General features: G+C 38.1%; 1 protein-coding gene across 2 annotated transcripts in view, besides 2 other annotated features; it reads left to right on the top strand.

The window, feature by feature from the left end:
• Positions 1-26,815, top strand: part of C2CD3 (C2 domain containing 3 centriole elongation regulator) — a 158,285-nt gene that overhangs the window by 13,784 nt on the left and 117,686 nt on the right. For both annotated transcript variants that reach the window (NM_001286577.2, NM_015531.6), the window contains exons 4-7: positions 17,391-17,614; positions 18,252-18,499; positions 23,662-23,794; positions 24,247-24,375. In NM_001286577.2, the coding sequence (NP_001273506.1) occupies positions 17,391-17,614; positions 18,252-18,499; positions 23,662-23,794; positions 24,247-24,375 (734 nt within the window). The remainder of the gene's footprint in view (positions 1-17,390; positions 17,615-18,251; positions 18,500-23,661; positions 23,795-24,246; positions 24,376-26,815) is intronic.
• Positions 18,301-18,595: an enhancer, noted in NCBI's record as "tiled region #9619; HepG2 Activating DNase unmatched - State 5:Enh". NCBI's record gives its function as "activates a minimal TATA promoter and a strong SV40 promoter by Sharpr-MPRA in HepG2 cells {active_cell/tissue: HepG2}" and the evidence as "EXISTENCE:reporter gene assay evidence [ECO:0000049][PMID:27701403]".
• Positions 18,301-18,595: a silencer, noted in NCBI's record as "tiled region #9619; K562 Repressive DNase unmatched - State 5:Enh". NCBI's record gives its function as "represses a minimal TATA promoter and a strong SV40 promoter by Sharpr-MPRA in K562 cells {active_cell/tissue: K562}" and the evidence as "EXISTENCE:reporter gene assay evidence [ECO:0000049][PMID:27701403]".

The raw sequence follows: 26,815 nt of genomic DNA, 5'->3' as shown, positions 1-26,815 counted from the left end.
AAATGAAAACAATTTATTCAACAATATTAAAGTTATAGTCTATTTGTGGAATCTTTTATATCCATAGAAGATAAAATTACATAGTTATGATTGTGTGGCAGCTGGAAAAATGATTTTGGATTGATGACAAAGGAAAATTCAAATTTGCATATGTGCATATGATCGATGACTAGGGAAAAAACAAGGAAAAATGAAATCGGGAGGAGTACAATGTTCTAGGTAAGGTGGGTTTTCTTTGGGGTTTTTTTGAGACAGAGTCTTGCCCTGTCACCCAAGCTGTAGTGCACTGGCACTATCTCTGCTCACTGCAACTTCTGCCTTCTGGATTCAAGCAAGTCTCCCACCACAGCCTCCAGCGTAGCTGGGACTACAGGTGCACACCACCATGCCCGGCTAATTTTTGTATTTTTTGGTAGAGACAGGTTTTCACCCTGTTGGCCAGGCTGGTCTCAAACTCTGGACTTCAAGTGATCTGCCTGCCTTGGCCTTCCAAAATCCTGGAATTACAGGCATGAGCCACTGTGCCCGGCCACAGGGTAAGGTTTTATGTTTTTCTTTTTCTTTCTTCCTTTTAAGAGAAGGGATCTCACTATGTTTCCCAGGCTAGATTCAAGCTTTTGGGCTTAAGCGGTTCTCCTGCCTCGGCCTCCTGAGTAGCTGGGACTGCAGGTGTGCTCCACAGCACCTAGTTTTTTTAAAAAATCAAGGTATAATCCACATACCATAAAATTCACCTTTTTTTTTTTTTTTTTTTTTTTTGAGATAGGGTCTTACTGTGCGCCCAGGCTGGAGTACAGTGATGCAATCTCAACTGACTTGGCTTCGACCTCCTGGGCTCCAGCAATCCTCCTACCTCAGCCTCCCTAGTAGTGGGGACTACAGGCACACACCACCACCCCCAGCTAAGTTTTTGTTGTTTTTTTGTTTGTTAATTTGTTTGTTTTTTGAGACGGAGTCTTGCTCGGTCACCAGGCTGGAGTGCAGTGGTGCGATCTCAGCTCACTGCAACCTCCACCTCCTGGGTTCAAGTGATTCCCCTGCCTCAGCCTCCTAAGTAGCTGGGACTACAGGCGTGCACCACCATGCCCAGCTAATTTTTTGTATTTTAGTAGAGACAGGGTTTTGCTGTGTTGGTCAGGATGGTCTCAATCTCCTGACCTCATGATCTGCCCACCTCGGCCTCCCAAAGTGCTGGGATTACAGGCATGACCCACTGCACCTGGCCAGTTTTTGGATTTTTTGTAGACACAGGGTTTTGCCATGTTGTCCAGGCTGGTCTGGAACTCCTGAGCTCCAGCAATCTTCCCATGTCAGCCTCCCAAAGTGCTGGAATTACAGCTGTGAGCCACCACACCCAGCCAATTCACCCTTTTAAAGTGCACAATTCAGTGGTTTTTACAATCATCACTGCTATTAAATCTAGAACATTTTTCACCCCAAAAAGAAACACTGTACCCAATACAGCCACTCCTTGTTTCTCTCTGCCCCCGCCCTTGACAACTACTAACCTACTTTCTGTCTCTGTGTATTTGCCTGTTCTGGACATTTTATACAGATGGAATAATATATGTGGCCTTTTGCGATTGGCTTTTTTCATTTAACATAATGTTTCTAAGTTTCATCCATGTTATAGCATGTATCAGAAGTGCATCCCTTTTTGTGGATGAATAATACTTGACGATATGGATATATCCCATTCTAAAGTTGATAGACATTTGGATTGTTTTGACTTTTTGACTATTATTAATAATGTTGCTATTAGCATTCATATATAAGTTCTTTTGTGAACATATGCTTTCCGTTCTCTTGGGTATATGCCTACAAGTGGAATTGCTGGGCCATATGGTAACTCTATTTTTAACTTTTTAAGGAACTGCCAGACTATTTTCCAGAATGCCTGTACCATTTTTTGTTCATATTTAAATGTCAATTCATACAATAATATTTGTGTATTTTTTATTTGCAGTCATTGGATTTGTTGAAGAATTGTTTTTAATAGAGCAGTGGAGACTTTTGTCAAATTTTGAATGACTGAGGAGTACAGAAATAAGTAGTGGTTACAGTGAAGAAATAGAAGCTATAATTAAAGATTTGTTTCCTCTCTTGTTCCACTATCTTGGAGCCTGTGGAGGCCTGCCAGGAACAGGACTCTTAAAGGCAAATATGTCTAGAAGGCTGCTGTCAAAGACCATTTTTGCTGGCTATAAGCAGGGTCTCTGGAACCATTGGGAACCACAGCTGTTCTTAAAATTGAAGGTGTTTATGCTTCACCAGCTCTTGCTATGGTCACTCTTTTAAATTTTTGCCATTCTAATGAGTATGTACTGATATCTAATTGAGATTTTCATTTGTATTTCCTGATGACTAACATGTTGAGTATTTTTTCATGGGCTTTTTGGCTATTCTTTTATCTTCTTCAGGAGTTCACAGACTGCAACCCCCAAGCCAAATCTGGCTCATCACCTATATTTGTAAATAGTTGTATTAGGACGCAGCCACACCCATTCATTTATATATGGTCTATGTGGCTTTTATGCCAAACAGCAGAGTTGAGTAATGAGACCATATGGCATGCAAAGCCTAATATATTAGCTCTCTGGCCTATTCATAGGAAAATGTATCAACCCCCGATACTTTCTGTGGATTGTTTGTTCAAGTTTTTTGCCCATTTAAAAAATAAGCTTATCTTTTTTAGTTTTGAGAGCTTTTTAACATTAGGGCTATAAGTATTTATTCATTCATTCATTCATTCATTCATTTATATTCCCAGCCTTTGGCTTCTCTCTTTCTTTTCTTTTTTAATAAGTAGAGACTTTGGGCCAAACTTGAGGACTACAACTCAGAAGCATAGATTTAAGTTGCCCTGAATATATACTCCCTTTGTTTAATTTTTTTCTTCTTTTATTTTCATGATTGTGTCTTTTGAAAAACAGAAGTTTTTCTTTCAATGAAATCAGGTTTATCGATCTTACCTTTATTTTGAGCCACCGTGCCCAGCCATCAATCTTACCTTTTATGGTTTATGTTTTTTATAAACTCAGGCCTACCTAAGAAATCTTCCCCTAATCCAAGTTTGCAAAGATTTTCTCCACTGTTTTCCCCTAATATTTTTATAGTTTTGGCTTTTAGTTTTAGGTATAATTCATGTCTGATTAATTTTGGGGTATACTGTAGTGTGAAATAAGGTCAGGATTTTTTTTTTCTATAATTGTATCTTCTTGTTCTGTCACTATTTATTGAAAAGATTGCCCTTTCCCACCCCATTAAATTTTGTTTGAATATAATCAATTGATTATATATATGTGAGTCTATTTCTAGACTCCTTTCTGTTTCATTGATCTGTATTTCTTTTTGTTTTTAATGGAATTCTTGTTGCAGATTAGAATTTCTGTCCTTAGGATAGCAACACTGTATTACTGCAGCTTTATTGTAAACCTTGAAATAAGATACTCTGAGCCCTCTAATTTTGTTCTTATTGAAAATTTTTGTCCATTTTAAGTTCTTCACATTTCCTTATAAATATTAGAATCAGCTTGTTGATTTCCATAAAAAATATCTGCTGGGATTTTTGTTGATACTGTACAATATACAGATAAAATTCAGAGAATTAAGTTCTTAGCAATATTGAGTCTTCCAATCCATGAACATGGTATATTTCTCCATTTGTTTGGCTCTTTAATTTTTTTTCTACAATCTTTTATACTTAGCATCATGCAGGCTTGCATATACTTTGATTTATCCCAAAGTATTCATGCTCTTCATTGACTCTTGAGAATTTTCTCTATAGACAATGATGTCATCTGTGGATAAAGACAGGTTTACTTCTTTTCTAATCTATATGCCTTTTATTTCTATTTTCTTGCCTTATCACACTAAGATCTCCAGTATATGTTGAATAGAGAACAGATATTCTTCCTTCATTCTTTCTTTTCATAGGAAAGCATTTGGTCTTTCACTTGCTTTTGTTTGTTTTGTTTTGTTTTGTTTTGTTTTGTTTTGTTTTGTTTTTAAGAGACAGAGTCTCACTCTGTCACCCAGGCTGGCATGATCATAGCTCACTGCAATTTCAAACTTCTGGACTCAAGCAGTCCTCCTGCCTCAGCCTTCTGAGTAAATAAGACTACAGGTGCACGCTAACTGTTTTTTAAAATTTTTTTGTAGAGACAGGGTTTCGCTATGTTGGCTGGCTGGTCTCAAACTCCTGGCCTCAAGCAATCCTCCTTTCTCAGTCTCTCAAAGTGCTGGAATTAGAGGAGAGCCATCATGTCTGGCATCTTTCACTATTAAATGTGATGTTAGATATAGGTTTTTCATATTTGTCCTTTATCAATTAGAAAAGTGCCAAGTTTTAAGAACACTTTTCCCAAATTTTCTGAGAGATTTTATCATGGGTATTGAACTTTATCAAATGTTTTTCCTGTATGTGTTAGGATAGTCATTTGGATTTTTTTCTTTTGGTCTGTTAATATGGCCTATTTTATTGATTCATTTCTAAAAACAAAACCAGACCATCAGTCTTACGATGAACACAATGAAGTCATATAGTATTAGCCATTTTATATATTATTGTGATTTAATGTTTCAGTGAGGATGAAATGAAACATTACATTTTTGTTCAGGAGAGATATTAATCTGTAGTATTGTTTTGTTGCATTGTCTTTGATTTAGATGTGTGGGTAATGCTGGCATAAAATGATTTTAGAAGAGTTCCTCCTCTGTTTATTGGAAGAGTTAACGTAGAATTGATTAAATGTCTAGTAGAGTTTACCAGTGGAGTTAACTGGTTTCTGGATTTTTCCTTATGGGGAAGGTTTTTAACTACCACTTTAATTTATATAGTAGATTCAGGGCTGTGTAGGTAATCTTTCTTTTTGAGTGAGCTTTGGTAGTTTGGTTTTCAAATAATTCATCCATTTCATTGAAGTTGTTGAATTTATTGGCACAGAGTTGTTTATAACATCCCTTTTCTGTCTTTAAACGTCTAAAGCAATTGTGATTATATCTCCTCTTTCATTCCTAATATTAGTAATTTGTTTTCTCATTTTTTTCTGGATCAGGCTGGATAGAAGTTTAACAATTTTATTAATCTTTTCAAGGAGCCAGCATGTGATTTCATGAGACTTCAAAGTATCTTAGACTGCTTGACATTTTTCTACCAGTGACTTGAGTTTGGTTTTTTCCAGTCTTTTCATCCTCTGTGTATTTCGTTTTATAGTTACTATTACTCTATATTCAAGTTCATTAATCATCTTGTGCAGTATCTTACCTGCTTCTAACCCCATCAGTCATATTTTCATTTCAAATATTTTCATCTCTAAAAGTTACATTTCCTTTTTTAATGTACATTTTCTTTTTTTCTTTGCAGTCACATTTTCTTTCACATCCTTAAGCATTAGGAGCATCTATATGATAGCGGTTTTAAGGTCCCATCAATTTTATCACCCATCATTTGGTGTCTGTTTCTATTGATTAATTGCTCTGTGGTTATAGGGCATGTTTTCCTACTACTATTAAATTTTTATTGAATACTGAACATTGTAAATTTTATAAATTGTGCACTTTATTTTTTTTCCCCCTTTAATGAGTGTTGTCTGCCAGGCACGTTGGCTCATGCCTGTAATCCTAGCACTTTGGGAGGCCAAGGCAGCTGGATCACTTGAGGCCAGGAGTTTGAAACCAGCCTGGCCAACATGGCAAAACTCCATCTCTACAAAAAATACAAAAATTGGCTGGACATGGTGGCATGTGCCTGTAATCCCAGCTACTAGGGAGGCTGAGAAGGCTGAGACAGGAGAATCACTTGAACCTGGGAGGCAGAGGTTGCAGTGGGCCGAGATCATGCCACTGCACTCCAGCCTGGGTGATGGAGTGAGACCCTGTCTCAATAAATAAATAAATAAATAAATAAATAAAGAGTGTTGGATGCTTACAGGCAATTTAGGAAGACTTCTCAGTACTAAATACATGAGCTGCCAGATTGAAAAAGCCTCCTGTGGGCCAGGCGCTGTGGCTGACGCCTGTAATCCCAGCACTTTGGGAGGCCGAGGCGGGCGGATCACCAGGTCAGGAGTTCGAGATCAGCCTGCCCAATATAGTGAAACCTCATCTGTACTAAAAATACAAAAATTAGCTGGGTGTGATGGTGGGCGTCTATAATCCTAGCTACTCAGGAGGCTAAGGCAGGAGAATCGCTTGAAGCCAGGAGGCAGAGGTTGCAGTGAGCGGAGATTGTGCCATTGCACTACTCCAGCCTGGGTGACAGAGTGAGACTCCATCTCAAAAAACAAAAAAAAAAGAAAGAAAGAAAGAAAAAGTCTCCTGTGGAACTCGTTTGGATCCTGATTCATAGAAACCAATTGTAAAAAATCTGAAACAATCAGGGAAATTAGAATGTTGACTCAAGTTTTGATAATTTTGAAGAATTGTTATTAATTTTTTAAATGTGATAATGGTATGGTGTTTATGTTTTTTTAATGAGTCCTCATATTATTAAAACTATATTTACAGAAATGGCATGATATCTGGAACTTGGTTCACAATAATCCAGTAACAAAGCAGGGCTTGGAAAAGGTATAAATGAAACATGATTAGCCAGATGTGAATAATTGTTGAAGCTGGATAATAAGTACCTGTAGTCGTTATTTATTTTTTTCTAATTTTATATGTTTTAAAAAGCTTAGAAATTTGTTTTGTTTTTTTTTTGTTTTTTTTTTTTTTTTTTTTTTTGAGACAGGGTCTTGCTCTGTAGCCCAGCCCAGGCTGGAGTGCGGTGGTGTGATCTAAGCTCACTGCAACCTCTGCTTCCCAGGTTCAAGTGATTCTCCTGCCTCAGCCTCCCAAGTAGCTAGGATTACAGGCATGTACCACCACATCCAGCTAATTTTTTTTTGTATTTTTTTTTTTAAGTAGAGACAGGGTTTCACCTTGTTGGCCAGGCTGGTTTCAAACTCCTGGCTTGAAGTGATCCACCTGCCTCGCCTCTCAAAGTGCTAGGATTACAGGCGTGAGCCACCGCACCCATCCACAGAAACATTTTTCTTGATATCAATTTTTTTTTTTTTTTACAAAAGGAAAGTGTCCATTAAGTACAACATAGTGGATGAAAGCAGACTTTCAGCAAGTTATATCATTGTGACATTTTAGAGCACTGAAAACAAAAACAAGATTCTATAAACTTCCAGAGAACAGGAGAAACAGTCACACACAAAGAATTAAGTAGAGTGGCTTCAAACTTCTCAATAGCCACATTAGCGTCCAGAAGACAATTCAATAATGCCTCCAGAATGTTGAATGAAAATGGCCTAGAATTCTGTCTCTCTAGGCAAACTATCTAGTGTAAGAGTAGAATGAAGTTTTTGTATATACAAAGTCTCAAAAATTTGTACCTCTCCCACACTCTTCCTGACAAAGCAGCTGAGGGACTTTCTCTGCCAAAATGAGGGAGTAAACTTAAAAAGAAGACAAGGTGGGATATTGCAAACAAGAGATACAACACAGGAGGGAGCCGAAGAGAATCCCTTGATTTGAGGTGAAGCAGCTGTACACAAGGCATAGATGGCAGCTATTCCAAATTGGAGTATATGCTAAGGCTCTGGGAGAGATTTCTCAAAAAAAAAAAAAAGTTACAAAACACCTATTGTGTCTGAAAATCTTAAGAGGAGAATTCGATAACTGGCAAAAAGTTCAGAATTGAATTAACAATAAGAACAATAAAAACACAAAGCAAATGTTAGCATGCACCTACAGTCCCAGCTACTCAGGAAGCTGAGGCAGTAGAATCACTTGAGCCCAGGAGTTCACGTTCAGCCTGGGCAACATGGCAAGACCTGATCTCTAAAAAGAAAAAAAAATTTTTTTTTTAACTAAGCAAATGAGAAAACAAGACAGCATTTTGGGAAAATGTTGTGCAGGAAAGGAAAAGTAATCAGTACTTCTAATTGTTCAGCTATAAATGGAATACATGTTCATACTATAATTGTAGTCAGATCAATAATCAGTGTTTACTATATTGGCACATTGGGAGGATGGAGGAAACAAGTGGATGTGGGAGAGAGCTAAATTCTTATCTCCTGTATTAGGAAGTCAAAAGGTTATGCCTGGAAACTAGAAGTCAAAGTATAGACATAATCATGTTATTTGGAGCTATAGAGGTAAATACCACAGGAATCAGGTATAGAAATTGAAAGTGGCCGCCTGTGAGGAAAGAGAAATGGTGTCTATGTAAGGGACTTGTTTTATGTAACAAAATTATCGAACTGTTTGAATCTAAATGTGCATGTGTTATATTAATTTTGATACTTTAAAAAGAAAAACATGCAGTGAATGATGGAACTTGAATTCTTGTTATACCACTGCTTTGCTGTCCCCAAGGACAGTATTGAGTTGACTAACCATGGGATCTCTCCTGAAAAGAGGGGTAAGTGTAGCCAGTAAGGAGCTGATAGAATGGAGATGAAGGAAGAAAGGTGGCTTTACATTGTTGCTGTGAAGGGGAAGATCAGGTTTGGTCAGACTGGGGAGTGAGGGACTGCAAAGAAGGCAGATATAGTTCATTACAATCAAGCTGATTGAGAGAGGAAGCTTTGTTGTATTCCATTATTAGTATAGATCAGATGTCAAAAAAAATAAATGAGTCAAGCAGACTGGCTGTAAAAGAAATCAACTGCCAAAAATATATTCAGACTTTTGAAAAGTATCAAAAGTATCAAACTTATGCTATTATATAAGCATGTAACATAATATATACACATATATAAATATACACACATATATCTTATATACACACATATAAGGTATATGTGTGTATATATACATATATAAGATATTTATGTATATATACACATAAACATACGATTATTTTAAGTTTGAAATTGGGAAACAGGAATACTTAACTATAGCTTTTTTCTTTTGAAATCATTCATTTGATCTGGCTAGAAATGTGATACATTTACTTCTATGCTAAGTTAGTACCAAGTATTAAATATATGATGGGCATTACATCATTCATTTTTAAACCCTTTAATTATAAGATTTAGTTTTTATTCAGTTTCATAACAGATCTTAACCATTCACAAACATGAGTATTTCCAAACAAAGGTAGAATCTTGGCAAAATAGTTTTGATAGTTAGACATTTGTAAAATTTGTAAAATTTAAGACATTTGTAAAATTTGTAAAATTTAAGACATTTGTAAAATTTAAGATTTCAACATCACAGTTAATCCTAAATATTGTACTGTACTTTATTAACCTCCATATGTTACACTTCCAGTATAAATTGAGAAAGGTAAGTTGAATAGTGTTAGTTTTCATAAAGCTTGAAACCAAAAAAAATCTTTTTGGGTTATCAGTCTTTAGCTCTACAATTTTAGGAATGTATTTCATGCCATCAGTTTCATTTCTGGAAATCCTGTTTCAGCATGGAAAAATACAAAAAAGTAGGACAGATAGTTCCTTGCCAATAAAACTTTCCAGAGATACAGTCATCAAGTAATGAGTAAATTGAATGAAATATGGTTCCTTGTTAATGCCCTTGCAGATAAGCCATCAGATTTTTTACATAGGCAGTAATGTCAGTTAAAATGGCCCTGTATTTGACCAGTCTGTGCTAGTGATCTGAGGCTGGGATTTGTCCTTGGACAACATAAACCAGGAGACTTCTTTAAACTCAAGCTCAAAAACATTTTTTAGCACCATAACTCATACTAAGTCACCTAATATCCATGTACTAATGATAGGCTACATACTGCTTATCCAGTTTTTCAGGGGTGTTGTCGTTGTTGTGGTCGTTGCTGTTGTTATTTAAGACGGGGTCTTGCTCTGTTGCCCAAGCTGGAATGCAGTGGTTAGATCATGACTCACTGCAGCCTTGACCTCCTGGGCTCAAGTGATCCTCCCACGACAGCCTTCCTAGTAGCTGGGACTAACAGGTGCACACCACGACACCTGGCTAATTTTTGTATTTTTTTGTAGAGACAAGGCCTTGAGATGTTGCCCAAGCTGGTCTTGAACTCTGGGCTTAAGCAATCCTCCTGTCTCTGCCTCTCAAAATGCTGGAATTATTTGTGTGAACCACTGTGCCTGGCCTGCTTTCCAGTTAGCAAGCAAAATATTGACCAAGGGAATTTTTTTTATTTCATTTTATTTTATTTTATTTTATTTTATTTTTTGAGACAGAGTCTTACTCTGTCATCCAGGCTGGAGCGCAGTGGCACGATCTCGGCTCACTGCAACCTCCGCCCCAGGTTCAAGCAATTCTCCTGCCTCAGCCTCCCAAGTAGCTGGGATTACAGGCGTCTGTCACCACGCCCATCTAATTTTTGTATTTTTAGCAGAGGCAGAGTTTCACCATGTTGGCCAGGCTGGTCTCGAGCTCCTGACCTCAAGTGATCTGCCCACCTCGGCCTCCCAAAGTGCTGGGATTACAGACGTGAGCCACCGCGCCTGGCAGGAATTTAATTCATATGTTAATTGTGTGTGTGTGTGTGTGTGTGTGTGTGTGTGTGTGTGGTTTGACTTTTAGCCTTGTAGACAAAGTAAATAAGACAGTAAATAGCTTTATGGTTATCTGTCTTTGCAAAGTGTTGCCACCTTGGATTTAGATCTTGAAACAAGTTTATTGTCAACAAAGACCATTTCAGGATCATCATCCTTTGTCATCAGTCTTTAATAAAGTTTTCAAAACTTTTTTCAGTTCAGAGAGCTGTATTTCCTTGGATATGTTTGTCATGAGCATCACATCCAAAAATTTTTCCCTTACATAAAAGTTCTCATTGATACTTTAAATGGATACAACTCTTGGAAAGTTATTTTTAATCTGTGTTCTCATCAACTACAAAGAAGAATGCCACAAATTATTTAACATTTTCACTCAATTCACCTTTTAAGTTTGTAGCCATACCACTAACATGCTGAATAACTAATTTTGGTTAGATGTGTACATGCAAATCATGCTATTACACCCAAATTCTGCTGCATTCACTAAACATTCTTTTATAAATTTTACCATTGATAAGAGACTTTGACACCCTAAAGCTTTTAATCTTAATATGTAACTGCATTTCACAGGTATACCACTCATTATTTACTTAAAAAAATAACAGTTTAAATGTGTACTTTCTGTTTATTCAGTTTTCATTATTTGTCTGTTCTACAGGCCCATCATAATTCTTACTAGAGTTTGTTTCCTGATGCTATCTTTTGACACAGTCATATCTTGTTTGTATATTTTACCATTAGAAATATTCTTGTTGAAGTCAAAATAAAATATAAAGACAAATCTCCAAATTTAAAGCATTTTATTTGGGAAGCAAGAATTGCAATTCAGGACATATAGGTAGGTGGTGGTCTTCAGTATGTTCAAAGAACAAAGAGAAGGTTGGGAGTTTTATTAGAAAGAAAAATTTGGGGGAAAGGACTTCCTATTCAATAAATGGTACTGGGATAACTGGCTAGCTATATGCGGAAGATTGAAACTGGACCCCTTACTTACACCATATACAAAAATCAACTCAAGATGGACTGAAGACCTCAATGTAAAACCTAAAACTGTAAAGACTCTGGAACCTAGGAAATGCCATTTTCGACATAAGAACTGGCAAGATTTCATGATGAAAACAACAAAAGCAATTGCAACAAAAGCAAAAATTGACAACTGGGACAATTAATCTAAAGAGCTTTTGCACAGCAAAAGAAACTATCAACAGAGGCAACCTACAGAATAAGAGAAAATATTTCCAAGCTATACATCTGACAAAGGTCTAATATCCAGAATCTATAAGGAACTTAAAGAAATGTACAAGCAAAAAATAACCCCATTAAAAAGTGGGCAAAGGACATGAACAGACACTTTTCAAAAGAAGACATACATGCGCCAACAAACGTGAAAAAATGCCCAATATCACTAATCATTAGGGAAGTAAAAATCAAAACCACAGTGAGAATGGCTTACACCAGTCAGAATGGCTATTATTAAAAAGTCAAAAAATAACATATGCTGACAAGATTGCAGAGAAAAGCGAATGCTTATACACTGCTGGTGGGAGCATAAATCAGTTCAACCGTTCTGGAAAGCAGTGTGGCGATTCGTCAAAGATCTAAAAACAGAACTACGATTTGACCCAGCAGTCCCACTACTGAGTATTGTAAGAATTTGCCAGTAAAGTGATCTGGACCTGAAGATTTCTTTTTCAGAAGGTTTTACCTAAAAATTAAATTTAAAAAATAATTATAGCTTTAAATAATTATACTTTTAGGGTACATACCCAAAGGACTATAAATTGTTCTATCACAAAGACATATGCACATGTTATGTTCATTGCAGCACTATTCACAATAGCAAAAACATAGAATCAAGCTGAGTGCCCATCAATGGTAGACCGTTAAGAAAATGTGGTACGTATACACTATGGAAAACTATGCAGCCATAAAAAAGAATGAGATCATGTCCTTTGCAGGACATGGATGGAACTGGAGGCCATTATCCCTAGCAAACTAACGCAGGAACAGAAAACCAAGCACCACACGTTCTCACTTACAAGTGGGAGCTAAATAATGAGAACAGAAGAACAGAAATAGAGGAACAATAGACACTGGGACCTACTTGAAGGAGGAGAGTGGGAAGAGGGAGAGGTTCAGAACAAAAAACCTGTCGGGTACTGTGCTTAGTACCTGGGTAATGAAATAATCTGTACACCAGACCCCCACGTCATGAGTTTACCTATATAACAAATCTGCACATGTACCCCGAACCTAAAATTAAAATTTTTTTAAAAAAGAAAAACTGTACATATTGTGTGCCAAAAAAGCTTATTGGCACTAGAGAAGCTTTGGGGAGCTGGCAAGCTCTTTTTGATGAGTGACCCTCTCATTGGTAGGTGAAACTGCTCTGAGGGTTACAGCAGGCCATTTCTGCATCCAGGCTTGCAGAGAATTGCATTGTTGGAGCAATCTATATACCCTGAGCCCTTTTTTTCCCCTGGCCCCTCAACTGATTTAGTTGGATATGATAAGAAGGACCCAATTTGTATAATGAACTTTCACATTCTCTTCCACAAAGAAATATGCTTTTTTCTTTTGTTTGTTTTGAAATTAATGTCTCTTGTTCTCTTTCATGAACACAAATATTTCACTTTCCTTTTGATTCTACTGTAAGAAAGACAGCAGCCTATAGCACCCATAGATATTAAGGAAATACTGTGAACAACTCTACACATATTAATTTGACAACTTAGATGAAATGAGCCAATTCTTTAAAAACTGTAAACTACCAAAACTCACTCAAGATCAAATAGATAACCTGAATAAAATGATAATTATTTTTAAATTTAATTTTTAGCTTAAAACCTTCTGAAAAAGAAATCTCCAGGCCCAGATCACTTTACTGGCAAATTCTTCCAAACATAAAGGAGAAAACAGTTATTTTAAGGCCTGCATCACCTTAATACCAAAACCAGAGGGCAATATAAGAAAAGTATAGAACAATATCCTTAATGAACCTAGACTTAAAATTTTTCAACGCAATTTTAGTAAATTGAGCCAGGCATGGTGGCGTGTGCCCATAATTTCAGCTACTCAGGAAGCTGAGGTGGGAGAATCACTTAAGGCCAGCAGTTTGAGACCAGCCTGGGAAACAGAGCAAGACCCCTAAAATATATAAAATATATATTAAATATATATATATATAAATATATAAAATAAAATTAGCTTGATGTGGTGGTGCACACCAGTAATCCCAGCTACTTTGGAGGCTGAGACAGGAGGATCACTTGAGCCCAGGAGTTCAAGGTTACAGTGAGTTATGATCACACCACTGCACTCCAGCCTGGGTGACAGAGCGAGACCCTGTCTCTAAATTTAAAAAATAATAAGCATTGTTAAATAGTTGACTTTTTAAAAAATGCTGCATTGACCAACATGATTGTGAAAATTATACTTACTAATTTGCTCTCTCTGATACTGATACATGTTGTAGATATAGTAGATAATTGTAGGCAACTTATTGTTAAAGCGAACCTTGAGTCGTTGCTAGAAGACTGATGAGTGTCCTTAAGGTTGTTCTCTTACGGATGTGAGAAGCATATGGTACATTCTTGGTATATGTGGATGGCGTGGGCTTTGGAAGAGGGGTGATATATTTAAGTGATAGAATGATGGTCTAGAGATAGCACCAAAAAGGCAAAAGTTAACTCCCTTTAGCCTGGCAAGTGTAGGTGGTTTCTATTGGAAGAGACTTTGAGGAAATGGGGACATTTAAAGAAAAAAATGTTTCATTAAAGTGGTAAAGTAATTTGTATAAAATAGAAATTCTACAGGACTCAGTGAAGGGATTGGCAGAGGAGTGAGCACCAGGATGAATCATGATTGGGGAGGCAAATGATTGAGGTGGACAGGAATGAAGATCTGGGAGCTAAATGCAACAGGAGGGTTAAAGTAGATGGTCTCTTGGACGGCTAGGAATTGACAGAACATTCTTCTGTTTTATACCGTCAAAGTTTGACCAATACTTTTCCCTCTGCCTCTAATGTTCTACTTCCATCCCCCTCAGCTTTTTCTGCCTCATTCGTATTTAAGATTCTAAGCTCAAATGTTTGTATTTCACTCCTGGAAATCATCCCTGGCACTCCTTCCTCACCTTTTCCCCAGCCTCAGACCCCTTCTTAGCATTCCCATACCACCTAGTACACATCCTTATCTTAAAACTTACTATTTTATATTAAAATTACTTTTTTGTTAATTGTTTATTTATCAGTAGAAACTATTTCTTAGCCCACATATTCATGTTTCATAGTTCAGGAACACAAATCAGTGACAAACTTCTACGTAATTTAGCCCAAAGAAATTCTTTGTATTTCAAAATCACTTTGTATTCCGAAAGATATCAGCCTTCTTCATCTCCTCACAATCTTTCATGGAATCATAATTTCTGAAGAAATCTGTGTGTGCCTTCTTTCTTGGTTTAGCCACAGCAAACAGAGAGAGATCTGTAACCCCCAGGGATACAGCAAATGTTCCAACAATATGAAATTGCAACCATATCTAAGGTTTTTGCCAAAGCACTAGAAGCCGTAGTCATTGTACTTGATAGGTATGTCACCACTGCCCTTCCTGGCCGATAGAGAAATGGAAAAATTACTTTTTTTTCTAACTTCCTCTACAAAATACTATGATCCTCTGAGGCAGAGGGTGTTTTTGTGGGGGAGGAGGGGGTTATTTTTTTTGAAACAGAGTCTTGCTCTGTTGCCCAGGCTGTAGTACAGTGGCACAATCATAGCTCACTGCAGCCTCAATATCCGGGGCTCAAGCAGTCCTCCTGCCTCAGCCTAGCGAGTAGCTAGGACTTCAAGGTACATGCCACCATGCCCAGCTAATTTTTTTTTTTAAATTTTTTGTAGTGACAGGTTCTCACTATGTTGCCCAGGCCAGTCTCAAATTCCTGGGCTCAAGCAATCCTCCTACCCCTGCCTCCCAAAGTGCTGGGATTACAGTGTGAGTCCCTGTTTTAGTCCTCTGTTTTCCTCAGGGAGGTAGCACAGAGCCTGGCACAGAGCTGGTATCAACAAGTATTTGTTTAACTAAACAAAGGAGTTAGGCCACTGTGTTTTGATTGTAAGATGGGCGTGGCAAGTGTCTGGACTTTCTCTGACTCTTTATTCAAGGGCCAATGGCAGTACAGGCCTATGAGTTAAAGCAAACTCTGTGGCCAGTCAGCAGTTCATTGTTAAGGCCAGGAACACTACCTTTATCCTCAGTGTCTCCTTTGTTTCTAGAATGCAGAGGCAGTCTTTGGCAAGTGATGAATGGTAAGGGAACACTTCCTGGCATTTATGTTTGAGCAACCAGGATTTTATGTGATGCTGTTAACAGTGATCACTGCACATAGTATTCATCCCACCGCATTGCTGTCATTTGTCTTTGTACAAAGATCTTCATGATGAATAGATTTGAAGGACTTTATATTATGGTTCATGAACAGAATTCTCATCAAGACCCAGGCATGTTTTATTGAGTTTGTGCCTTGGCAGTTCTTCTGGATAAAATATTTCATTGACCTTCCCAGAGACATCGTAAAACATCTAACTGCAGTTTTTCATTTTTGTGTTAGGGCATTCATTATTTGACGGTCTTTGGGTGCTTAAACAATTCCTTCTGCTTTCTTTGTCATTGAAACTGAACTTTCAGCGCTACTATTCTTTTCCTTTGGAGTATATCCTTCACTTTCTTCCTTAAGGTTTTGCTTCAAAACTCCATTTTATTTTTCATTCCTCCATTAGGCGTTTCTCCATTGGGATTTTCAGAGGACTAGAGAGTCTTTTCACAAAGAACTTGAACTCACAGGAAGGAGATGATAAGGAAACTTAAAGTAATTACCTTTTCATCTTAGTTGTCCTCCCTCCTCACCCCTCTTCATCTCCAGCATAGAACTAGGACCTTATTTTTCCCAAGCAACTAATAATAAGAATGCAGAAAATGTTATGTCCTTCTTTTATTCATCAGACCATTAGCATTATTAGGCATATTAGACTTGCATACTATTTATACACACACTATGCTAAGTAGTCGATAGAAAAATGAAGAAGATAGCCCGTGCTTCAAGGAATGCATAATCTAATCAGGATGATGAATGAAAGGTCGCAAGTACCTTCTCCAAGTCTTTGCTTTAAAAAAAAAGAATCTTCGAATTAGGGTAATATACTTTCCTGATGGCCTTGTATAATCACATTATCTTCTCTATATGAGGAACTTAGCACAGTTACTGGCCTGTAGTAAAAGGTTCAGTAAATGGTGATTATGCTAATGGATAGATACAGATTAAGTAGAAACATGAAGAAGGCAGTGGACATGGCATCTCTACTTAGACGTAAAGAAGGAATACTGGGGGAAATTGTATATACAAAGGCATAAAGCAATGAAATATAAGGTACATTTAGAGAACCATAAGTAATTGGTCTATTGGAACAGAGGGATGAAGGAAGGAAGCTTAGTAAGAGATGAGGCTTCCAAGGTAGGCAGGAATTTAGACAATTAATGGGGGACATTAATCTTGTAAGGAATGGGGGACATTCCTTACAATCCTGTAGGGAATGGGGGACATTCCTTACAATCCTGTAGGGAATGGGGGACATTCCTTACAATCCTGTAGGGAATGGGGGACATTCCTTACAATCCTCTAGGGAATGGGGGACATTCCTTACAATCCTGTAGGGAATGGGGGACATTCCTTACAATCCTCTAGGGAATGGGGGACATTCCTTACAATCCTCTAGGGAATGGGGGACATTCCTTACAATCCTGTAGGGAATGGGGGACATTAATTAATATTAAGCAGGGGAGTCTTAAAATTAGTTAATCAATGCTAAAGAAAATTTCTCATATACTACCTGTCTCTCTTAGGTCTCACTTGCCCTGGAACCTCTGTCAGAAACTTACGACAGCTACCATCCACTTCCTACCACTGACATGACAGAAAATGTGCTTTTATCTAAGCAGGGATTCAGAGAGAATACTGAACCCAGCAGTACCCAGTTTCAGGTTCCATCAAGGCCTCGCGACATACATACCATCAAAATTGATGGAAAAGAGTTAGCAGCCAACAGCAGTAGATCAACCACTCCGAGGTAATTACCATACCTAATACCAGTCAATCTGTCAGTTAACTGCACTGTAGTTGTGATTTCTGTCTTTCATTTATGGTTGAGTAAAAGATTAACAGCAGAGAGAGGCACAGTCCTCATTTAGCAGATAACTGTGAAGCACCCACTCTGGTCCTGGTTTGATACTAGGTGCTGGGCCTAGAAATAAGTAAGACATGATTTCTGTTTTCCAGGACTACTCACAATCTAGCGGAGAAGCCAACATACAGATAAATGACTAAATGATATCCAGATGCAGGACAGATGTTCATGAGGGAAAAGAGGGACAGGGAGCTATTCTGTGAAACAGAATGGAATAAGAATCAGGTTTTTGTTTTAAGTAATTATTTATGAAGCATTTGCTTTGTGTCAGGCTCTGCTGAGCTCTTCGTTTTATTGTCTCATTTAAGCTATGACTCCCTCACTGTAGGTAAAGCATCTATTATTTCTATAATTTGGGAGATGAAAAAGAGATTTACAAAGTTGTATTGCAAATAAGTCACGCTTTTTGAGGTCCAAACTACCTTGCCAAAACCACTGGTCTACTTTCTGTCTCTGACAAAATAGAATGTTACCATAATAGATTATATATTGCTGATGTTCTCCCTTTTTAAAAAAACAGGGGAAAAGACCATGTATGCTTTGCAGAGAACCCTGATACAATAAAGGATTCTTCCTTTGGACTACAGCACAGTCTTAATTCAGGACAGAGTTTAGAGTCTGTAACTCTGAAAGGCAGAGCTCCACGGAAGCAGATGTCCCTTCTGAACAGTTCTGAATTCCAGCCTCAAATTAGAACAGTTGCCAAGAGTCACAGTGACTCATGCATTCTTTCTTCAAACAACCTCCCTACCAAGGATCTTCTTTCAGGTATGTATGTATTTGTGAACTGAGTCAGACTAAACTACGTTTATGGGATTGCTCTGCTTGTTAGCCAGCCTACAAAGAGAACCAAGACTCTTGTTTGAACTAAGTCAAATAAAAACAGGCAGTCTTGCTAGAGTCCAGCATCTCACACCATTTAAAGACAGCCGTATTAAACCACCAAGGTATTTCTGAATAATTACTCAGTGCTTATAATTGTAAGTTTGGGGAAGGAATCGTTTAAAAGGAATTGGATATGAGGGGAAAACCTTTATCATAGAAAAGGATTAGTCCTTACTTTGTCCCAAATAATTCAAGGCAGGTAAGGTTTTTGTCTCGTGATCAGCATTTATTTATCCCACTGTATGGAGACTAGTACAAAATCCATTTCACATTCTGAAAACTCTTAGTCTTAGTGAGAACGTTCAGTACACAGCTGCTGATCTTAATCCTGGGAATTAAATAATGACTGTGGCCAAATAGAAGAAGAAAGGAGACAGTTTACCCTTATAAGGGCTTAGACAGAAATAAAAAAGCAAACAGGAACAGAATTAGATTACCTCATGTTAAGGAGTGGTATAATAAAAGCAGTTGACTTACATTACACTGTAATGGTCAACCATGTATCTCTTTGACCTCAAGATCATAACAGGAATTTGTCTACATCCCTACAAGTAAAATTTCCAAAATTAAAATATCTGTAGCATCAGAAAAGTCTTTTAAATAACTATTTGGGTACATAATTTACATTCTTAAGGACATTTTGTAAAAGAACAAAAACATTTTGTTTATAGTTTTTCAACTGAATTGTCTTAGATTCCCTACTTTAAAAAATACACGGGCCGGGCACGGTGGCTCACGCCTGTAATCCCAACACTTTGGGAGGCTGAGGCGGGCAGATCACTTGAGGTCAGGAGTTCGAAACTAGCCTGGCCAACATGGTGAAACCCTGTCTCTACTAAAAATACAAAAAATTAGCTGGGTGTTGTGGTAGGTGCCTGTAGTCCCAACTACTCAGGAGGCTGAGGCAGGAGAATCGCTTGAACTCAGGAGGCAGAGGTTGCAGTGATCCAAGATGGTACCACTGCACTCCAGCCTGGGCAACGGAGCAAGACTCTGTCTCAAAAAGAAAAAAAAGAAAAAATATATATATATATAAAATTCCAAAAAAAAGTATATATATATATATACACTCCAAGATTATAAACTATTAATTTCAGTCTTTAATGCAAAGACTACATTAACAAGAAGGAAAATTGACCCAATGTACTCAGCACTTGTCAGCTCACTTGTGTAGACTTGAGCACCAGACTTTAGGAAAGATATTTGTTGACTCAATAAGCAGTTATCTATTCAGCACTACCAAATGTCTGGCGCTCTTCTAGGTATCAGGGCTACAGTAGTTAAATATATATATATAAACTCCTGCTGTATGGATTTTATATTGATTGGAAGACAAATGATAGACTAAATAAATAACTGTGTGTTACTTGGTGATCATGGCAATGGTGATATATGAAGCCAGGAAGGTGAGAGAAGGGGATGTTAGTTTTACATAGGTTGGCAAAGGAAGACCTCATTAAGAAGATAACATTAAGCTACTCAGGAGGCTGAGGTAAGAGGATCACTTGAGCCTAGGAGTTCGAGTCCAGCCTGGACAACATAGCAAGATCTCATCTCTAAAAAAAAAAAAAAGCAAAGAGAAAGAAGGTAACATTAAAGATCTAAGGGAAAGGAGATGTGTTCCTTCTTTTTTTTTTTAACTTTTATTTTTTTTTATTTACTTTTAAGTTCTGGGGCACATGTGCAGAATGTGCAGTTTTGTTACATAGGTATACACGTGCCATGATGTTTGCTGCACCCATCAACCTGTAACCTACATTAGGTATTTCTCCTAATGCTATCTCTCCCCTAGCCCCCTACCCCCGACAGGTCCCGGTCTGTGATGTTCCCCTCCCTGTGTCCATGTGTTCTGGAGAGGAGATGTGTTCCTTCTAAGGAAAGTAACCAGACTGGTAAAAGGAGCAGCAAGAGATAGCCTGGAGAAAACAGCTGCCACTTATTGAGCACTGATTATGTGCTAGCTACTATGCCAAGTGCTTTATATACATAATCTTACAAAAGTCACGTGAGGTAGGCATTATCCCCATTTTAAAATGAAAACACAAGCTCAGACTTAGGCAGCTCCTGTGCTATCAAAGGGGGCAGCTCTCATTTATTACTGTCTCAGACTTTAAGGTAAAGTCCTATGCTTCATCTTACTCTAGGTTCATTGTTTACCTAGGCCTGTTTTGTTTTGCTTTTGCTTTTTAAATCAAGACCTTGCTGGCCAGCTATTCAAGCCAAACAAAATATGCCATGCACAACCCATGGGCTGTCAATGTGCAACCTCTTCAATAAGAGTTACTAGGATCTGTGGATTTAAAGGTAAAACAAGGTAGATTTCAACTCGGTCTGAGTTAGTAGTCTGACTTGTGCACAAATGGGAGAGGGACCACATCACTGTAAATGGTCAAGTGTGGGCTGGATAACCTTCTGATGTGACTTTTACAGATGGGGTTAAATTATCAAGTACATAGCTGGATAAAATCTTTTTTTTTTTTCAATTTTATTTTAGATTCAGGAGGTATATATGCAGGTTTCTTTCCTGGGTATATTGCATGATGCTGAGAATTGGGGTATGAATGATCCTATCACCCAGGTACTGAGCATAGCACCCAATAGTTTTTCAACCCTTGCCCCCATCTTCCTTACCCCTCTAGTAGTCCCCAGTTTCTATTGTTACCATCTTTATATCCCTGAGTACCCAGTTTTTAGCTCCCATTTATAAGTGAAAACATGCAGTATTTAGTTTTCTGTTCCTGACTTAGTTCGCCTAGGATAACGGCCTCCAGTTGCACTGGATAAGATCTTTAAAGGTGTCTTGCAACCACAAGATTAAGTGGGCCACTTTAGTAAGCATAGAGTTGAGGTCATGTGAGGGACACAACAAATACATAAACCTAATGATTTTTCTGGTCTTTGATGTACTAATAACATACCAGAATAGAGGGTACAAAGCTGTATCAGTCAACCAGCTAGTATTTATGAAACACTAACTACACAGCAGGATCCTGTTCTTCCCCATTTTCAAAATAACAATGATACATTAGATTCTTCTCATACTTCACATCTCTGACTATCATATCCTTTAACCAGCCAGAGAAAAATTTGCTTTAAAAGGTTAATATGATTAGATTCTGCCTACCAAGATAATCTTCCTGTCTTAAGGTAAGCATTAATTACATCTGCAAGTCCGGGCAAGCTGGCTCATGCCTGTAATCCCAGCACTTTGGGAGGCTGTGGTGGGAGGATCACTTGACCCTGGGAGGTCGAGGCTCCAGTGAGTCATGATCATGCCAGTGCACTCTAGCCTGGGTAACAGAGTAAGACCTTGTCTCAAAAAAAAAAAAAAAAGTTTTAAATAATTACATCTGCAAAATCCTTTCATGGTAATACCTAGACAAGTGTTTGAATCACTAGGACGAAGTATGAGTATATGAGGCAATGGGGATCTTGGGGTAGCCATCTTAGAATTCTGCCTATCACAGTGAGTGAGCTTTATTTTTTAGTTTAGTTGTATTGCCACATCACACATTGAACATATGATATTTAAGATTTTGGATTTTTTTTAAGTTTTTAAGCTATATTTTGACCTCTTTATAGTAACAAATATTAGATGTTTTGATGTTTATGGACTTTGGGAGGCCGGGGCAGGAAGATAGCTTGAGGCCAATAGTTCAAGACCAGCCTGGGCAACATAGCAAGATACCATCTGTACAAAAAAATAAAAAATAAGCCAGGCATGGTGGTATGCACCTATAGTCTAGCTACTTGGGAGACTGAGATGGGAGGATTGCTTGAGCCTGGAAGTTCGAGGCTGTAGCGAACTTGATTGTACCACTGCATTCCAGCTAGGGCAACAGAGCAAGACTCTGTCTCTAAACATATGTAAATAATGAGTAAGACTATGGATATATTTGACTTGTTTTTTTTCTTGGCCTAACCATCATATTTTATTTTTAGAAATTATAAAATTAGACTAGGAGTTGGGCACTTTCTAAGCACCTGTGGAACCTCAAGAAAATAATAATACCTCCTGTATCTGTTGGAACAATACTATTGGGCCTGAGCTTTTTTATTTTATTTGTTTTTATTTAGAAACAGAATCTCACTATGTTGCCCAGGCTGGAACACTGTGACTATTCATAAGTGTGGTTATAGCACACTATCACCTCAAACTCCTAGACTCAAGCAGTCTTCTTGACTTAAGCAGTCCTCCTGCCTCAGCCTCCCAAGTAGCTGGGACCATGGGCACATGCTGCCATGCCCAGCTAGTACTCAGCTTTTAAAAAGAAGCCTAAGAACTAAGTAGGGTCATAGATAGTATAGCAATTAAAAGCATAGGATGTGGAATCATCTGGTTATAGATGTATTGCGTGTACAACTTGGTCAAGTTACCTACTCTCTGCCTCAATTTTTTATCTGGAAAACAAAAGTAGTCATAGTACATATCTCAGAGGACTGTTGGGAGGATTAAATGAGTAATACACGTTAAAATACTTAGAATAGTGCCTCGCATGTGGTAAACATTCCATAAGTGTATTCTCTGATTTGTGTTGCTGCTATTGTTGTGGGACCCCTTAAGGGATGGGGTAAATTTTACCTATCAGAAAGTCGGAAAAGTCAGGTTTTATCCTGACTTTTCCATTAACCTGCTGTGTGAGTCATGGAAGCTTTTTAGCACTCTTTTCTTCATCCATAGAAGTATAAATTTGATATCTGGATACAAAAACAATATATAAACATTACTAACCTTATTAGGTACAAGCACCAGTTGGAAGAGCCAGTATATGGATATAACAACCCCCACAAGAGGTGAGTCTCCGGAATGGAGACTTCATTCATTGTTACAATGCCAGCATCTAAAACAGTGCACAGTAGAAACTCAGTAAACATCTCTTTTGCGTAAATGTCCTCAAGGAATTCTCAAGCTAATGGGGAAGGCAGATGAGCAAACTATTACAGTACACACTAGTGAGTCCTCTGATAGAAGGAAATGCACTGAATATTCCAAATGTTTCTGCTGCATTTTGGATTTTTCTGTTTTCTGCATTTACCCTCTTCAGCTCTGTTAGAACAAGGCAATAAACTGCGTAATGCCATGGTGATTTCTGCAATGAAATCAAGCCCAGAGACCAGCATGTTGTTGGACCAAGTTCATCCTCCTATTAATGAAGATTCTCTTAGAGCATCAACACAGTAAGTTACAGGATAGACAGAACCTTAACAGTTCATTTCTTAATAGTTGTTAACCTGTGTTTTTTGTCAAGTTATGGACTAGGTAATCTTGGAAATGCTTATCAAATAATTCCTGATGTGGTGGGAAAGAAGCCTACACTAGGAGTTAAGATACTAAAAATCTTATCCTAGCACTGGTACTGGCAGCATGTGTAAATGGGTAAATTCTTTACTGTCTCCGAACTGGTATCCTTGGATGTAAAATGGGGATATTCTCTCCCTACCTCACAGAAATGAGATGGGATTCTACTGTAGGAAAGAGCTTTGCAAAGTGTAAAGTTTTATTTAAGGCAGTTAAGTCTAAAGTATGTTAAATTTTCTGAGTCAGACCAGCTGCATGTACGAAGTGATTATGATTTAGATTTTTTCCATCTGTTAGCCACTCAGTGAGAAAGTATTTTTCCACACCTTAGGATCAGAGCCTTTTCTAGGAATCGGTTTAAAGACCACATTGAAGATCACCTCCTCCCTTCAACTGAGAATACATTTTGGAGACATGACACAAAAGCTGATACCAGAGCTATACAGCTGCTATTAGGCAGGTAAGCACTATTAACTGGCTTTCTTCCTTTTAAACTCTTCCTCCAATTCATAGTATGCATTGTTATCAGATTCATCTTCCTAAAGTAACATGTCCTTAGACTAACCAAGCCCTTCCCTATTCCTTAAACTATCACTATTGCCTACTAAATAAAACTCCATACTTTAGCCCTTTACTTTTGGCTTCACTTACAGAATGATCCCATTCTACCTTACCGTTCTTATCTCCCAACTCTTTCCCCAATACCAGTGTTAACATGGTATGATGAAAAGAGCATGGATTTTAAACAGATACAAGTGGAAATTCGAGGTTCATCTCTAATTAGCTTTGTGGCCTTAAGCAGGTATCTCTGAACTTCAGAGGCATTGGTAAAATTGGAATTGTACCTAACTTTGCAAAATTGTTGTAAGGATTAAAAATGATGTATATAGAGGAGTAACACAATGCTTGACACATAATATTTTGCGGGGTTTTTTTTTGTTTTTTGTTTTTTTGAGACGGAGTCTCACTCTGTTGCCCAGGCTGGAGTGCCATGGTACAGTCTCAGCTCACTGCAACCTCCTCCTCCTGGGTTCAAGCAATTATCCTGCCTCTGCCTCCCAAGTAGCTGGTTCTGCAGGCATGCAGTACCACTTTTGGCTAATTTTTGTATTTTTAGTAGCGACGGGGTTTCACCTTGTTGTCCAGGCTGGTCTCGAACTCTTGACCTCAAGTGATCCACTCGCTTCAGCCTCCCAAAGTGCTGGGATTACAAGCATGAGCCACAGTGCCTGGCCAACACATAGTATTTTTACTGTTGGTAGCTGTTTATGTTAACATTGTGAATAACATGTGCCCTCCAACCAGACTCATCTATTTATTGTCTCTTGAATAAAAGATACTGTCTACATTCATGTCTTGGAAAGTTAATAGGGCATAGTGGTTAAAAGCAATATGTGCCGAAGTTTTAAAGGTTATGGGAGAACATGTGTTTCAAAGGCTCCAAAAGCTCACGCCTATAATCCCAGCACTTTGGGAGGCCAAGGTGGGCGGATCACCAGAGTTCAGGAGTTCGAGACCAGCCTGGCCAACAGGGTGAAACCCTGTCTCTACTAACAGTACAAAAATGAGCCAGGCGTGGTGGTGCAGCTACTCAGGAGGCTGAGGCAGGAGAATTGCTTGAAACCTGGAGGCAGAGGTTGCAATGAGCCGAGAACATGCTACTGCACTCTGGCCTGGATGATAGAAGGAGTAAGACTCCATCTCAAAAAAAAAAAGAAAGAAAAACAAAACCTCCAATTAGTTTGATCTGAAGTTTAGATTTCTATTACAGGGAAGTAACAACACAACATACTCCAGAAAATACTTGCAAACCGAACCCAGCAACATATAAAAATAATTTTATACTATGACCAAGCAGGATTTATTCCAGGAATGAGAGTTAGTTTGACACCTGAAATTCAATATATGTGATCCACCATTATCTATATCTGTATCTATAAAGAGAGAGAGATAGACAGATAGATAGTTTTTTTTTTTTTTTGAGACCGAGTCTCACTGTATCACCTAGGCTAGAGTGTAATGGCTTGATCTCGGCTTACTGCAACCTCTGCCTCCTGGGTTCAAGTGATTCTCCTGCCCTAGCCTCCCAAGTAGCTGGGATTACAGGCGTGAGCCACCGCACCTGGCCTCACCATATCAATAGAATAAAAAACAAAAACCACATGATTATCTCAAGAGATGCAGAAAAACAGCCAGTCATGATGGCACACGCTTGTAGTCCCAGCTACTTGGGAGGCTGAGGCAGGAGAATCCCTTGAGCAACAGTGAGCCATGATTACTACACTCCAGTCTGGGTGACATAGTGAGATCTTGTCTCAAAAAAATAAAAAATCAAAAACTATAAAACATTGTTGAAATAAAGAAGATTTAAATACATGGAAAAAATCCTATGTTTATCTTTCAACACAATATCAGAATCCCAGCTGACTTCTTTGTGGAAATTGACAAGCTGTTTCTCAAATTCATAGGAAATTGCAGGGGACCCAGAACAGCCAAAACAATCTTGAAAAAAAAGAAAGTAGGACTCACACTTTCCAATTTTAAAGCTTACTACAGAACAACACTAATCAAGTCAGTGTGATACTGGCATAAGGATAGACATATAAATCAATGGAATAGAGTTGATAGTTTAGAAAAAAACCCATCTGTCTGTGGTCAACTAATATGAGTTAGACAAGGCTGTGAAGACCAATCAATGGGGCAACAAATAGTATTTTCAACAAATGGTGCTGGAACAACTGGATAGCCCCATGCAGAAAAAAAGAAGTTGGGACCAGGCACGGTGGCTCATGGTGTAATCCCAACATTTTGGGAGGCTGAGGCAGTAGGGTCATTTGAGGCCAGGAGTTTGAGACCAGCCTGGACTACATAGTGAAACCCCCATCTCTACAAAAAATAAA

Source organism: Homo sapiens, chromosome 11 (genome assembly GCF_000001405.40).
Source record: "Homo sapiens chromosome 11, GRCh38.p14 Primary Assembly".
Classification (NCBI taxonomy): Eukaryota; Metazoa; Chordata; class Mammalia; order Primates; family Hominidae; genus Homo; species Homo sapiens.
The sequence above is the reverse complement of the archived record's forward strand: the minus strand, read 5'-3'. Positions and strand labels throughout refer to the sequence as shown.